Below are 16,376 nucleotides of genomic sequence, written 5' to 3'. Positions count from 1 at the left end.
TCATATAAAATGTGGAATTAAAATCACAAAAGGCAAAAAAAGAGTGGAAGACAAAAATATAGGAACAAATAACAAGGCAACAAATAGAAAAACAATAACAGATATGGTAGATATTACTCTAACTATGTCAATAATCATTTTGAATGCCAGTGGTCTAAATACACCAACTAAGACAGAGATTTTCCAAAGCAAAAAAACTATCAACAGGGTAAACACACAACCTATAGAGTGAAAGCAAATGTTTACAACCTATGCATCTAACAAAAGTCTAATATCTAGAATCTATAAGGAACTTAAATCAACAAGGAAAAAACAACCCCACTAAAAATGGCAAAGGACATGAACAGACACTTCTCAAAAGACATCTGCACAGCCAACAAACATATGAAAAAGTACTCAATATCAAAACCACAATGAGATACCATCTCACACCAGTCAGAATGGCTATTATAAAAAGTAAAAAAATAACAGATGCTGGAGAGGTTGTGGAGAAAAGAGAATGCTTATACACTGCTGGTCAGAACATAAATTAGTTCAGCCACTGTGAAAAGTAGTCTGGAGATTTATCAAAGAACTTAAAACAAAACTACCATTCAACCCAGCAATTCCATTCCTGAGTGTATACCCAAAGAGATATAAGGCATTCTACCATAAAGACGCATACAGGCCTATGTTCATCGCAGCACAATTCACAAATAGCAAAGACATGGAATCAAACTAGATGCCCATCAATGATAGACTATATATACACTATGGAATACCACAGAGCCATAAAAAGGAATGCAATCAATGTCCTTTGCAGCAACATGGATAGAGCTGGAGGCCATCATCCTAAATGAATTAACACAGGAACAGAAAACCAAATAATGAATGTTCTCACTTATAAGTGGGAGCTAAACACTGAGTATACATGGACACATAGAAGGGAACATCAGACATCCGGGGCCTACTTAAGGGTGGAGGTTGGGAGGAGGATGAGGATTGAAAAACTACCTATTGAGTACTCTGCTTATTACTTGTGGAACAAAATGGCCGGTACACCAAACTCCCATGACATGCAGTTTACTGATGTAATAATAAACCTTCACATGTGAAAACGTCCCTGTCTAACAGCTTTGAAGAGAGTAGTGGTTCTCCCAGCACGGAGTTTGAGATCTGAGAATGAACAGACTGCCTCCTCATGTGGGTCCCTGACCCCCAAGTAGCCTAACCGGGAGGCACCTCCCAGTAGGGGCCAACTGACACCTCATACAGCCGGGTGCCCCTCTGAGATGAAGCTTCCAGAGGAAGGACCAGGCAGCAACATTTGCCGATCTGCAATATTTGCTGTCCTGTAGCCTCCGCTGGTGATACCCAGGCAAACAGAGTCTGGAGTGGACCTCCAGCAAACTCCAACAGACCTGCAGCTGAGGGTCCTGACTGTTAGTAGGAAAGCTAACAAACAGAAAGGACATCCACACCAAAACCCCATTTGTACGTCACCATCATCAAAGACCAAAGGTAGATAAAACCACAAAGATGGGGAGAAACCAGAGCAGAAAGCTGAAAATTCTAAAAATCGGAGCACCTCTTCTCCAAAGGAACGCAGCTCCTCGCCAGCAATGGAACAAAGCTGGATGGAGAATAAATTTGAGGAGTTGAGAGAAGAAGGCTTCAGATGATCAATAATAACAAACTTCTCCACTGGGTGTGGTGGCTCATGCCTGTAATACCAGCACTTTGGGAGGCCAAAGCAGGTGGATCACAAGGTCAGGAGATCGAGACAATCCTGGCTAAGATGGTGAAACCCTGTCTCTACTAAAAATACAAAAAATTAGCTGGGCATGGTGGCGGGTGCCTGTAGTCCCAGCTACTTGGGAGGCCGAGGCAGGAGAATGGCCAGAACCCGGGAGGTGGAGCTTGCAGTGAGCTGAGATCGTGCCACTGCACTCCAGCCTGAGTGACAGAGATTCCCTCTCAAACAAACAAACAAACAAACAAACAAAAAAACCAACTTCTCTGAGCTAAAGGAGGATGTTCAAACCCATCACAAAGAAGCTAAAACCCTTGAAAAAAGATTAGACAAATGGCTAACTAGAATAAGCAATGTAGAGAAGACCTTAAATGACCCTATGGAGCTGAAAACCATGGCATGAGAACTACATGATGCATGCACAAGCTTCAGTAGCCGATTCAATCAAGTGGAAGAAAGGGTATCAGTGATTGAAAATCAAATGAATGAAATGAAGCGAGAAGTTTAGAGAAAAAGAGTAAAAAGAAACGAACAAAGCCTCCAAGAAATATGGGACTATGTGAAAAGACCAAATCTACATGTGATTGGTGTACCTGAAAGTGACGGAGAGAATGGAACCAAGTTGGAAAACACTCTTCAGGATATTATCCAGGAGAACTTCCCCAACCTAGCAAGGCAGGCCAACATTCAAATTCAGGAATACAGAGAACACCGCAAAGATACTCTTGAGAAGAGCAACTCCAAGACACATAATTGTCTTGGAGATTCACCAAAAGTTGAAATGAAGGAAAAAATGTTAAGGGCAGCCAGAGAGAAAGTTCGGGTTACCCACAAAGGGAAGCCCATCAGACTAACAGCAGATCTCTCAGCAGAAACTCTACAAGCCAGAAGAGAGTGGGGGCCAATATTCAACATTCTTAAAGAAAAGAATTTTCAACCCAGAATTTCATATCCAGCCAAACTAACCTTCATAAGTGAAGGAGAAATAAAATCCCTTACAGAAAAGAAAATGCTGAGAGATTTTGTCATCACCCGGCCGGCCTTACAAGAGCTCCTGAAGGAAGCACTAAACATGGAAAGGAACAACCGGTACCAGCCACTGCAAAACCATGCCAAATTGTAAAGACCATCGATGCTAGGAAGAAACTGCATCAATTAATGAGCAAAATAACCACTTAACATTATGACAATGACAGGATCAAATTCACACATAACAATATTAACCTTAAATGTCATATTTAAGGTTAAACAATATTTAACCTTAAATAGCCAAATAGATGGCTATTAGGTCAGCTTGGTTTATAGGAATTAACCTGTTTGCAGATGACATGATTTTATATTTAGAAAACCCCATCGTCTCAGCCCAAAATCTCCTTAAGCTGATAAGCAACTTCAGCAAAGTTTCAGGATACAAAATCAATGTGCAAAAACCACAAGCATTCCTATACACCAATAACAGCCAAATCATGAGTGAGCTCCCATTCACAATTGCTTCAAAGAGGATAAAATACCTAGGAATCCAACTTACAAGGGATGTGAAGGACCTCTTCAAGGAGAATACAAACCACTGCTCAATGAAATGAAAAAGGACACAAACAAATGGAAGAACATTCCATGCTCGTGCATAGGAAGAATCAATATCATGAAAATGGCCATACTACCCAAGGTAATTTATAGATTCAATGCCATCCCCATCAAGCTACCAATGACTTTCTTCACAGAATTCGAAAAAACTACTCTAAAGTTCATATGGAACCAAAAAAGAGCCTGCATTGCCAAGACAATCCTAGGCCAAAAGAACAAAGCTGGAAGTGTCACACTACCTGACTTCAAAGTATACTACAAGGTTACAGTAACCAAAACACCATAGTACTGGTACCAAAACAGAGATATAGACCAATGGAACAGAACAGAGCCCTCAGAAATAATATCACACATCTAAAACCATCTGATCTTTGACAAACCCGACAAAAACAGGAAATGGGGAAAGGATTCCCTATTTAATAAATGGTGCTGGGAAAACTGGCTAGCCATATGTAGAAAGCTGAAACTGGATCCCTTCCTTACACCTTATACAAAAATTAATTCAAGATGGATTAAAGATTTAAATGTCAGACCTAAAACCATAAAAACCCTAGAAGAAAACCTAGGCAATACCATTCAGGACATAGGCATGGGCAAGGACTTCATGACTAAAACACCAAAAGCAATGGCAACAAAAGCCAAAATTGACAAATGAGATCTAATTAAACTAAAGAGCTTCTGCACAGCAAAAGAAACTACCATCAGAGTGAACAGGCAACCTACAGAATGAGAGAAAATTTTTGCAACTTACTCATCTGACAAAGGGCTAATATCCAGAATCTACAATGAACTCAAACAAATTTACAAGAAAAAATCAAACAACCCCACCAAAAAGCGGGCAAAGGATATGAACAGACACTTCCCAAAAGAAGACATTTATGCAGCCAACAGACACATGAAAAAATGCTCATCATCACTGGCCATCAGAGAAATGCAAATCAAAACCACAATGAGATACCATCTCACACCAGTTAGAATGGCAATCATTAAAAAAGTCAGGAAACAACAGGTGCTGGAGAGGATATGGAGAAATAGCAACACTTTTACACTGTTGGTGGGACCGTATACTAGTTCACCCATTGTGGAAGACAGTGTGGCAATTCCTCAAGGATCTAGAACTAGAAATACCATGTGACCCAGTGATCCCATTACTGGGTATATACCCAAAGGATTATAAATCATGCTGCTATAAGGACACATGCATACGTATGTTTATTGTGGCACTATTCACAATAGCAAAGACTTGGAACCAACCTAAATGTCCATTAATGATAGACTGGATTAAAAAAATATGGCAAATATACACTGTGGAATACTATGCAGCCATAAAAAAGGATGAGTTCATGTCCTTTGTAGGGACATGGATGAAGCTGGAAACCATCATTCTGAGTAAACTATTGCAAGGGCAGAAAACCAAACACTGCATGTTCTCACTCATAGGTGGGAATTGAACAATGAGAACACTTGGACACAGGATGGGGAACATCACACACCAGGACCTGTCAATGGGGTGAGGGGAGGGGGGAGGGATAGCATTAGGAGATACACCTAATGTAAATGACAAGTTAATGGGTGCAGTGCACCAACATGGCACATGTATACATATGTAATGAACCTGCACGTTGTGCACAGGTACCCTAGAACTTAAAGTATAATAAAAGATCATATGAGAAAAAAAAACCTTCGCATGTACCCCTTGAACCTAAAATAAAAGGTAGGAAGAAAGAAATAAAATAAAAGAGATTGTCAGTGTAGATTAAAAAGTCGGACTCAACTATATGTAGTCTACAAGAAACACATTCTAAATATAAAGATGCACCTGCATAAATTAAAAGGATACAGAAAGATATACCATATTAACACTTATCAAAACACCCCCAACATATCTCTATTAATTTCAGGCAGAGCAGCCTTAAAGAGCAATAAAAGTTACCATAGATAAAGAAGGACATTACCTAAGAAAAAGGAGTCAATTCTCCAAGAAGATATGACAATCCTGCATGTGTGTATGCACCTAACAACAGAGCATAGAAATATGTTTAATTTACACTTATCTTCTTATGAGCCATGTTGCGTAACTTTTCATGTGTTTAAGATCAACTTCCAATTATTTTCCTATGAAATCTCTTTGTGTATCTTTTTAATTTTTTCAATATATTGTTGGTTTATTTCCCCTAAATTTGTAAGAACTATTTGTATATTAGAGATAGCACCCCTTTGTCTATGATATAAGTTGCAAACCTATTTTCCCACTCTTTCATTTGTTTTCTGACTGTGGTGGTAGTCTTTTCTTGCCATGCAAAAAATTTTGTTTTGTTTGTCTTTGATGTAGTTGAATTGACCAGTCTTTTAAAATTGTGTCATTATTAGATGAGCGACTTTCTTTCCAGCTCACCTGAGAATGTGTTTTCCTGTTGAGCTACAGAATGAGCATTGGGTATTTTGTGTTCCTCTGAGAAAGAGAAGAGGTGTGTCTGGCAGACAGGAGTTGACCTGGTCCTATCTGCTGGGCATTGGCGATGCTGTGAGCTGCCTGGCACCCACAGATGGATGTTGATGTTCTCTTGTGAGCATAAACAATTCCATAGAACATCTGCTTCATACCATATCATTTTGTGCCAATACTTAAGACAAAAACAAGACGTCTTCATAATCATGTCTGAGCATGAGCAAAGCATGAGCATTGTTCATATCACACAAATGACCAATGTCTCTCTATTCTAGCTAAGATGAGTAACTACTGTTTCTTCACCAACTACAGCTTTAACGTTCTTTACCAATTATAGCCTTAACCCATTAAGGCTTTAATACAGGTTTACATCTTTCTACATAAGATTTATTAAGATACCCTGCTATGCTAGAATTACCCCCACTTCCTGACAACACCCAATTCAGAACAAAGCCCCATTTCCTTAAACCCTTCTCCCAGATTATTGCCTAACACAACCCCAAATCCTCTAAGTCCTTTCTGACGTCCTCTTAGTGAGACACCACACCGTTTCCTGTAGTTTGTATTCTCCTTCACTTAACCAGTAATAACTCACTTCTTCAACTACAGGTGTGTTCATGGTGGCCTTTGATTGGAGCCCATTAACATCTCCACTTTTCCTGGTGGCCCAAGGGAATGGGGAGACAGTAGAGGGAAAGGGCAGCTGAGGGCTCTGAGCATTGGTTAGAATGCTTGGGCAACAGATGGCTCTTCCTGTTTCAGTACCATGAGGACTCCCCTGGGCATTGGATTGCTTTCCTCATTCCATGTGTAGCCTTGACTTCTCTTAGAGGAAGTGCACCCTGATGTCCCTCCACCTTGTTTCTCCTGTTTCTCCCCAGCATCTGTTTCCACCAGTCACCAGCAAGGGGAGGATCGTATAAGGACACCCTTCAGTGTCAGTGTGCTTCACTATGCTCAAAATCACCGGATTTGGAGGTGGATGTGGAGGGTGGGGCTGGAGGATGGAACAGGAATTTAGGAGCTAAATGCTGTCCCTCTCTATTTTGCTCCAGAATGTTCTTTTCCTTTCTCTGAGTCACCAGTTTCTTTACTGTATTAGGCTATGCCCCTTTCCTTGTTTTATTGCTATCAGTCATTTCTTATTGGCCTTTATAATTTTGTTAGTACCGGGATGGAAAACCCTACAATATTGTTTTTTTCCAATACCGAAGGCATCTCCTCTCCTCATCCCTGCTCTTTCCCTCCAGTTGAAAAAGATAAATAAACACTCTCTGTTGACAAATGTCTTTTCTCTTTTCTGTAGGCTCTGTGAGTTCTCCTTTCAGTTTATGCTTTTGGAAACAAAAGTCCTTGTCTGTCCTTCAGGTGTGAGTCAGAGCCAGATTCCTGACTAAATGGAGGGAAGGTTAAGAAAAAATACAATGAGAAATTCATTATAAGAAATTATTTTGTTGTCATCTAGTCATGTAAGTTTTGTCTTTAGTGGTGGTAACATGTGCTCATTCATCGTAGTTCGTTGCTCATGCCATGTGGTCATTGTCTCATGCTTATGGGCACCTCTCTTTAGTGACACCCACCTATTGGGGGGAGTCCCATTTGTAAAGAATTTTGTTGATGTGCTGAATACAAATTGATTTCCTAGAGTCTTGTCTGTTTTGGGCTGCTATGAGAGAATACCATAGACTGAGTAATTTATAAAGAACAGAAATTTGTTTTTTTCCACAGTTCTGGAGGCAGGGAAGTCCAAAATCCAGGGGCCATTAGATTCATTGTCAGGTGAGGGTCTGGTCTCTGTTTCCAAGATGTCGCCTTGAAGGCTGCGTCTTCCAGAGAGGAGGAGTGCTGTGTCCTCACATGGCAGGAGACTGAAGGGCAAAAGGAGTCTAACTTCCTCCATCATGCCTTTTTCTAAGCATATCTAATCCTATTCATGAAGGCAGAGTCCTCATAGCCTAATCACCTCCAAAAGGCCCCAACTCTTAATACTATCACATATGTAATATTTGATTTCTGGAGGGGATACATTCAAACCATAGCAGATGCTCATGAAACTAGAAACAGTGGCTAATGCCAGAGAAAGAAGCTGAGGATCTGGGAAGTCTTACTTGTGGATTTTATATGTTCCATTCCCATATGTAAATAAATGAGTTAATTGAAATGGAAGAAAATGAAGAAAGATGGAGAATTGTGTCATGGAACAATGGACAGCAGTCATAACATAATGGGTGAAAACAAAGCTCAAGTACATGAGGATGATTATATCTTTAATGGTATCTTGAAGCTGTAAGAGATCATCAAGTCTTGACTTCTATGTTAAAAAAGAAAGAAAACTGATGACCCATATTTAAACTGAGGCATGTGACATTTCTGCTCTACTCAGCACTCTTCACTCATCCAACAAAAATTCATTATGGTTTCTTATGTTCCAGGCACTGGGCTAGGTGTTCAAGGAAGACAGAGGGAGGAAATAAAAATTTTTATAAAACAGTCTTTGTCCTCAAGCAGCTCACAGGGCAGAGAGACCCTGATAGAGTACAGACTTCATGAAGAGTGGGGATGGGAAGGGCATTCTCTCCACACGCATCCCTGTCCCACCTCGGAGATTTCCTCCTCAGAACGCTACCTCTTACGCTTTCCTGTCTCACTCTTTCCAGCTCTCAGTTTAGAAGGTGTTTCCTCAGAGTACCTTTGCTGACCTCTCAAGTCTGGTAAATGGCCCTTCTCACTGGTGCCTGCATGCCCTGTGTGCTCCTGTCATGCACACAACACAGCATAGTAAAATGCCTGGTGTATGTGTTTGTCTTTTCAATACTCTGAGCTCTGCTCATTGGCAAATCTCAGGACATAGCACAAGATGTGGCCCCTAAATGTTAACTGAATGAATGAATGGAATCACTGGTATCTCTTTAGCTTGAAGAATAGAAAGCCCTTGTAGGACAAAGACGATTGGGAGAAATGTGAAGTCTGGCGTGGACTCTGTCAGAAGGCAGAACTGAACCAGTGGATGGAATTAGAAGAGGGAGACTTCGGTTTCACATCAGGAATGATATCATAGTCAGAACTCACCACACACATAATAGGTTAGATGAGGGAGGAGGGAGTCCTTCATTGCAGGAGTTTTAAAGGTGAATACAAGAAATGGGAGGCACTTGGCCTGGCGCGGTGGCTCAGGTCTGTTAATCCCAGCACTTTGGGAGGCAGAGGCCAGTGGGTCACAAGGTCAGGAGTCGAGACCAGCCTGGTCAAGATGGTGAAACCCCGTTTCTACTAAAATACAAAAATTAGCCGGGTGTGGTGGCGGGCACCTGTAATCCCAGCTAATTGGGAGGCTGAGGCAGAAGAATCACTTGAACCGGGGAGGCAGAGGTTGCAGCGAGCCAAGTTTGAGCCACTGAACTCTAGCCTGGGCAACAGAGCAAGACTCCGTCTAAAAAAAAAAAAAGAAAGAAATGGGAGGCACTGAGTTTCTGGCTCAGTTTGCTGATGCCAGAAATACAGAGATGACTGATCAGTAAAATCCACTAGAAAGTGTGTGACAGGTTTCTTTTTCCTTATATTTTTCTTTTTTAAATACAAAAGTAATACCAGCCCACTGAAAATTTGAAAAGTATATGGCATTAAAAAGAGAAAAATAACATCCGATAATCCAACAAGATAAACTCTCTAAAATTTCTTTTCTCTTTTTAAATGAATATGTTAAGCTCGAAATAGAATTTTAAATTTATCTTGATGTTTTACTCAACAACGTAGAAGCATCTTTTATGTCATTATTTTAAGTCACAACCACTTTTAGTGATGATGATTTAAAGAACCATTTGCTTTTTCCTTACTGTTCCCTGTTTTTAGATTTTTGGCTAGTGTCTAATTTTTCCCTGTTATAAATAATGCTGAGATGAACAGAATATGTAGATTTCTAATAATTTGCAAATGAACAGCATATGAAAAACATGAGCAAAAATTTTGCAGTTATAATTACTCAACACAAGTTTTAAATAAATTACTTTTATTTTGAGCGTTCATTCTTACGTATGTTATAGGAAGTAAGTAAGAAGCATTCCTTACTCCTTAGAATTTTGTTTATAAGTTAGTGATGAATTGGAAAGGGTAGCTTGCCCCTGGAATTCTCTGATAAGCACAGGTGATGAGGAAAATGGAGAAATCCAAGAATTCCTTTGTCTTTCCTTGAAAGTAGTCAACTTTAAGTGCAGTGCAGGCGTGCCCTCTAGCGGCCAAATAAAAAATAAAGAAATACGGGAAACCTTCAGCATTGTAACAATCGCACGTCCCCATCTAGTGGCTAACGTGTGTAAATGCAGCTTTTCTAATCACAATAACGAATGTTACTTGATTTATATGTCTCATGAGGTGAAGAGCTGGAAGGAATCTTAGAGACCATGTATTTCAACTTCCTCACGGAGTGGCATGCAGGCAGCAGCCTTGGGAACCCCGATTGCCCCTCCTCACACCTGCCCATCATAGGACTTGGGCGACGGGGTGGTGAAGTCAGGCTGTGGCCCCAGCGGCGCCACGAGGCCGAAAACCGGCGCTCAGCCTCATCCCGGTGGCTGCAGAGTGCCAAGCGCCAGGTCCTGCGCTCCGGGCGCGGGTCAGAAGCAGCTGGCAAGGGCAGCGCAGCCTGTGGGCCCTTGGGCGCTGGCCGGCCGCAGCTCCGGGAAGCCACGTCAGCCCACGGGCGCTGCAGCTGCAGCCGCCACCAGCACATGGAGCAGGGGTCCCCGAGGATTGGGAATCCCCGACCAGGCCTGCGCCTCCAGCCGCGCGGACCCCGGGGCCAGCCTGGCCGCGGCAAGTCAGGCAGTCTGCGGCAGGAGCGCCGGGCATGGGCTTCGGCCGGGGGTGCAGGAGGCGCGCACCCTCCGGCCGGATGGCGGCGCACTCAGGGCTCAGGAGGCCATCCCACGGGAGCCCCGCCAGCCCCCGCCGGAGCCCGAGCTGCAGTGCCGCCTGCAAGTGGTGCGCTGGCTGCAGCTGTGGCAACCCCAGATCCCGTCCTCCCGCCTCGCACCCATCAGCGCGGACCCCGGGGGCGACGCAGTGGCGATGTCGGGCTGTGGGCCCAGCGGTGGCACTAGGCGGAGAAGCACCACTCAACCCCATCCCTGGGCTGCAGAGGGCCCAGCGCGGGGGGCTCCGAGCGTCGGGAGCCTGTGGAAGAGAAGAGCGCGCGGGCGACAGTTAAACAGGCCCTGGGGCAGGGCGCGCCTCGCGCTCCAGGGAGCCCCGCCCTCCCGCGGCACCTCCGCAGCAACCGCCGCCTGCACTGGGCGCGCGAGAGCTGCTAGGGCGGTTTCTCTGCCTCGGGCCTGTTGGGCAGGGCCGGCTAAGGTGCGCGTGCTCGCTGGTTCTAACCCTTCTGTTGGGCGTTTCTGCTGAGAGGCGGGAGGCGCTGAGAGTCTGTGCGAAGGTCCGTGGACAGACTGCTTTGCCTGTTGTTGCTCTTCGGAGGCGGCGATCCCCGAAGGCGAGCTGAAATACGGCTGCAGGCTACAATTTGCAGCCGACCATTATGGATGACAAGGAGCCGAAGAGGTGGCCCACCCTCAGGGACCGCTTGTGCTCGGATGGCTTCTTATTTCCCCAATACCCCATTAAACCGTATCATCTGAAGGGGATCCACAGAGCTGTCTTCTATCGTGATCTGGAGGAACTGAAGTTCGTTCTGCTCACGCGTTATGACATCAATAAGAGAGACAGGAAGGAAAGGTAATGGGGGCCGGGAGCCGGGGCTGCGGGAGGAGGCCTGTGGATGTGGAGAAGTACCCCTTTCCAGGCTGAGGGCTGCGGGGCGGATGGTCCGGGGCTCGGGGTATGGACGGGGGCTAGGGGGTGCCTGGCTGGGGTGGGAGTGAGTGGAGCGGGGCCTGGGGAGTGGCGGTATATGGGGTGGCGGGGTGTGGAGTGAGTTGGGGGATGGGAGTGGGGAGTAGGGGGTGCATGGGGTGGGGGTGTGAATGGGCTGAGGTGGACGGAATGAAGGCTTGGGGGGTAGGGGGTGTGGGGTGGGGAGATGGGGTGAGGGTTCAATGGGATAGAGGACTGGAGGTGGGGGTGAGGTGTGGGGGTGAATGGGGTGGCGGAAAGGGGTGCAGAGGTGAGGGGGGCGAGTCCTGTCACCAAAGGGGCTGGACTTTCTTTCCTGGCAGGCTCAGCCGCACCTGGGATGTGGAAACCTTGGCAGGGGCGAGCACCCAGGTCATTTTCACAAGCAGCAAAACAAAAACAAAACTTCAGCTGGTTTCCAATCACTCACCATGCTGCTTCTTTATAAATCATTTTAAAGTGATTTCACTAATAAAATTCAGCATGTACAGCGTTTTATTTTTAATGTACACGTTTTAAAGCATAATGTTACATACATTATGGAAAGGTGCATAATGAGAGAAATCATTTCCATAATATATCAACTTCCTGACTAAAAATTCTTTGGATAAAAATCCAATATTTATTTGATATCAATGGACACCTATGTCAATTTGGTTTTCACTGAGGGACCTTAGAGGGAAACTTTGAAGTGGGAAGATGGTCTGTGTTCTTGAATAGAAAGACACATTTTTCTAAAGTTCTGAGCTCTTTCTATGTTTATAAATTTTACATAATCCAAATAAAGTTATCAAAGTGTTAATATTTTTGAATTACTCATGCTGTCTTTTACTATTGTGACGACATTAAGAAAACTTTTGAAATGGAGTCAAAAAAGACTTGCCTTTCTAGATATGAAAATGTGCTGTTAATTTCCACAAGTTATTTACTAACAGCTGAAACAACAAATCAGTGAATGGAACAGGTTAGAAAATCCAGGAACACACCAATATGTGTAAGAATTTATTAGGTTGGTGCAAAAGCAATTGCGGTTTTTGCCGCAATTACAAGTAATGGCGAAAACTGCAATTGCCTTTGCACCAATCTAATAGAATTGGATAATGGTGACATTTCATATTAGTAGGAAAAGATGAATTACTCATAAATGAAGTGCCTGCTAACTATTTGGAGAAATCTGGCTAGATTTTTATGTCACAGAAATAAGTTCGTTATGGAATGTAGATTAAAAACTTTAAATGCACAAAATAAGAGATAACAGAAAAAACCACAAATGCCTACTTATATTGATTCATGTTTATATTCCTACAAATATCACAAGCACACATTCTGAAGGTCGATTTAGCAAAATAAAAAAAATCCAGTTTATAAGAAAAAATTAAAAGACAATATGTGTATATACATATTAGATAAAAAAGTGATTTTCATTTTACAGAGAATTCTTCAAATAAACAAGAGCTCTCATTTAAAATAGAGCAAAGCATTTTTTTTTCAGATATTCAAGCAACCTATGCACATGGGAAAAAATATTTAGTGTTCCTGGGAGGAGAAGGTATTTAAGTTAAAAAAGGAATGAAATACTATTTTCTATCCACAAATTTGTGAGGGTAAAGGGTAGCAGTACATATACTGCTGTTGAAAGTTTACATTTCTGATGACTTTTCAAATAGACAATTTGTTGGTAAGTATCACACTGTAAAAATGTATGTGCCCTTCACCCATCAATTCCATTATACTAAAATATCTCTAGGAAATAGAGATACATGCAATTTGTTTTTCTCAGCACTGCTTAAAATAGCAATGTATTTGGAAAACCCCTTATAATGGATTTTATAAATTTTATAAATTTATCAATAAATTTCAGTGCATCCATAGGATGGGACAATATGGGACCTTTGCAGATGTCAGTAGATACAGATGTATGTTGAGGTGTGAAGATGTACTCTGAAAAAAAGTTGGTTTGATTATACATACACACAAACAATCTATGGTGTTTGTAAGCCAAATATGTGTACAAAATATAACATTTCTTCTTTTCTGGCAGGGGTATTGTGATATTTTTTCTTATCCGTGATGTATAAATGATCAGTATGTTTAAAACTTCTAGTAAATGTGTTTTATTAATGAAATTATCCTTGGGAAAAGAAGAAATATAAATCTTGCAAAGAAAAAATAATTCTCAGTTTCTATTTTATTTTATTATTTATTTCTTTGCTTGTTTGTTTATTTTTGTGATGGAGTCTTACCCTGTTGCCCAGCCTGGAGTGCAGTGGCATGATCTTGGCTCACTGCAATCTGCCTCTCAGGTTCAAGTGATTCTCCCACCTCAGCCTCCTGAGTAGCTGGGATTACAGATGTGTGCCACCATGGCCAGCTAATTTTTGTATATTTTAGTAAAGACGGGGTTTCACCATGTTGGCCAGGCTGGTCTCAAACTCCTGACCTCAGGTGATCCCCCCGCCTCGGCCTCCCAAAGTTCTGGGATTACAGGTGTGAGCCACTGTGCCTGGCCTTATTTTTATTTTTTTGTTTATTGGTATATTCTGTGAACTTTTAGCCTCTTCAGAGGCAGAGGGAATATTTTTATTTGTGCTTGATTATTTTATTATGCATAGATTTTAGTATATAAATAGGTTTTTATTATAGTTTTATTACATATAAGCAAACAATTTTAAATTAATTATTTTAGTTTATCAGTGTCCTCATGAAAATGAAAATGAGCAAATATAAGTGATTATCACTATTCCAAAAGCACTGCTTTAATTTATGTTTTTTTCATAATAAACTTCCCAACTGTATGTATGCATTCTTTCAATCCAGTTATTCATCAAGCATAACCTGAATACCTATTATGTAGCAGACACATTCCACCATCTCTCAGGACTCTTCCACCCTTAACAACTTCATGTTTACCTGCCCAGCCTGAGCAAGCTGAGATTTAAAATGGAAGCATTAGGACTGAATCCCAATTGGATCTTTTATTCCTTTTTTTTTTTTTAAACAAAAGCAATTCTGAAGTTAGAAAATAGTGAAAGATAACCTTTAACTGCCATTTCAGAAACTTATGACAGTCTCAAATACTACTATTAATCATTGCAAATACCTAATTTACATAACATTCTGTAAGTATTGAAAAAAATGAGCCATACCTATTCATTTGAATCCTGAGTTTTCTTTGGATTATTTTATTTTGAAAATTAAAGTAAGAATTACTTTGTTTTAAAAATTTGTTGTTTTTTTTTTTTTTGCCTTCTTTTTCCACAGTACTTTATTTAGGTGCCAATTATATGAGTAGAACTGCCTGTTCTATGAACTGTATCCCACTTAATGTAAGGCATCACGGATTGGGTGATGCCACGTTACTTTATATATCAATAAGATAATGTTTAAAATGTTGCCAGTTATAAATGTAATAAATAATGAATTGTAAACAGTATTCCAATGTTAGGAGATGTTAATATATAAGAGAATAGTAGCTTATATAAGAGAATAGTGAGAAAATGAGCATCTGAGAATGACTGAAATACAACGATACATCTAATCTTTAATAGATACCTCAATGTAGATATGATTGTATCATTTTACTTAATTAAAATGTCTTTGTAAAAATTAGCCGGGCGCGGTAGCGGGCGCCTGTAGTCCCAGCTACTCGGGAGGCTGAGGCAGGAGAATGTCGTGAACCCGGGAAGCGGAGCTTGCAGTGAGCCGAGATTGCGCCACTGCAGTCCGCAGTCCGGCCTGGGCGACAGAGCGAGACTCCGTCTCAAAAAAAAAAAAAAAAAAAAAAAAAAAGTCTTTGTAAGTAGTAATATCTAAAAATTATTGAGCTGTTATTTGTGTTAGAAAGTGTTCTAAATGCTGTGCATAGATTCTTATGTAAGCATCACAGCAGTGTTCTGTGGGCTAGCTACTATTCTCTTATATATTTTATTGATAAGGAAATTGAAGCAAAGAAAGGCTAAATAACAGCTAAGTGACAGAGCTTACAGTAAATTTTAAGCCCCAATTAAACTGAATCCAAAAGCCAAGGCTTTTCTATTAAATAGCCTGCTCTTTCATTAATGTGGTAATAAGCGCTAACAAATGTACTTTCTTCACAAGAAAATTACATATTTGTTTTGAAGACAGAGAAATAACATGCTAATTAATGCTTACAGTTACATGTTTTAAAAAGTCCTGTCACTCTCACAGGACCGCCCTACATTTGGCCTGTGCCACTGGCCAACCGGAAATGGTACATCTCCTGGTGTCCAGAAGATGTGAGCTTAACCTCTGCGACCGTGAAGACAGGACACCTCTGATCAAGGTACATAGTAGCTGACTCTTTTTGAGCATGAGATGGATTTGGTTGAAGTACATAGGATAAAATGAATTTATCTCATTGGAATACCACCATATAACTAGTAGGAAATCCTACGGAGTGTTTATTTTGATTTTTCAATATTTGCATGTTTCTCGGTCTAATACTGACAGGCTGTACAACTGAGGCAGGAGGCTTGTGCAACTCTTCTGCTGCAAAATGGCGCCGATCCAAATATTACGGATGTCTTTGGAAGGACTGCTCTGCACTACGCTGTGTATAATGAAGATACATCCATGATAGAAAAACTTCTTTCATATGGTGCAAATATTGAAGAATGCAGCGAGGTATAGGTCAACCAATGTTATTTTCAAACTATCTGAAATGCATTTATTTTAACATTGACACATGTAAGGGTCAATTTTTCATATTTGGAAGCTCAAACATTCCTTGAATGAAAATATTTTGAA

The 16,376-nt window shown here is 41.4% G+C and overlaps 1 protein-coding gene across 2 annotated transcripts in view, besides 3 other annotated features; it reads left to right on the top strand.

The window, feature by feature from the left end:
* Nucleotides 10,364–10,543: a silencer, noted in NCBI's record as "silent region_11745". NCBI's record gives its function as "represses an Ori minimal core promoter by ATAC-STARR-seq in GM12878 lymphoblastoid cells {active_cell/tissue: GM12878}" and the evidence as "EXISTENCE:reporter gene assay evidence [ECO:0000049][PMID:35858748]".
* Nucleotides 10,904–10,963: a silencer, noted in NCBI's record as "silent region_11744". NCBI's record gives its function as "represses an Ori minimal core promoter by ATAC-STARR-seq in GM12878 lymphoblastoid cells {active_cell/tissue: GM12878}" and the evidence as "EXISTENCE:reporter gene assay evidence [ECO:0000049][PMID:35858748]".
* Nucleotides 10,994–11,043: a silencer, noted in NCBI's record as "silent region_11743". NCBI's record gives its function as "represses an Ori minimal core promoter by ATAC-STARR-seq in GM12878 lymphoblastoid cells {active_cell/tissue: GM12878}" and the evidence as "EXISTENCE:reporter gene assay evidence [ECO:0000049][PMID:35858748]".
* Nucleotides 11,180–16,376, top strand: part of ANKRD36C (ankyrin repeat domain 36C) — a 142,893-nt gene continuing 137,696 nt past the window's right edge. For both annotated transcript variants that reach the window (NM_001310154.3, NM_001393982.1), the window contains exons 1-3: nucleotides 11,180–11,492; nucleotides 15,798–15,912; nucleotides 16,080–16,253. In NM_001310154.3, the coding sequence (NP_001297083.1) occupies nucleotides 11,296–11,492; nucleotides 15,798–15,912; nucleotides 16,080–16,253 (486 nt within the window). In that variant the 5' untranslated portion in view covers nucleotides 11,180–11,295. The remainder of the gene's footprint in view (nucleotides 11,493–15,797; nucleotides 15,913–16,079; nucleotides 16,254–16,376) is intronic.

This window comes from Homo sapiens, chromosome 2 (assembly GCF_000001405.40).
Source record: "Homo sapiens chromosome 2, GRCh38.p14 Primary Assembly".
In the NCBI taxonomy this organism is placed as follows: Eukaryota; Metazoa; Chordata; class Mammalia; order Primates; family Hominidae; genus Homo; species Homo sapiens.
The sequence above is the reverse complement of the archived record's forward strand: the minus strand, read 5'-3'. Positions and strand labels throughout refer to the sequence as shown.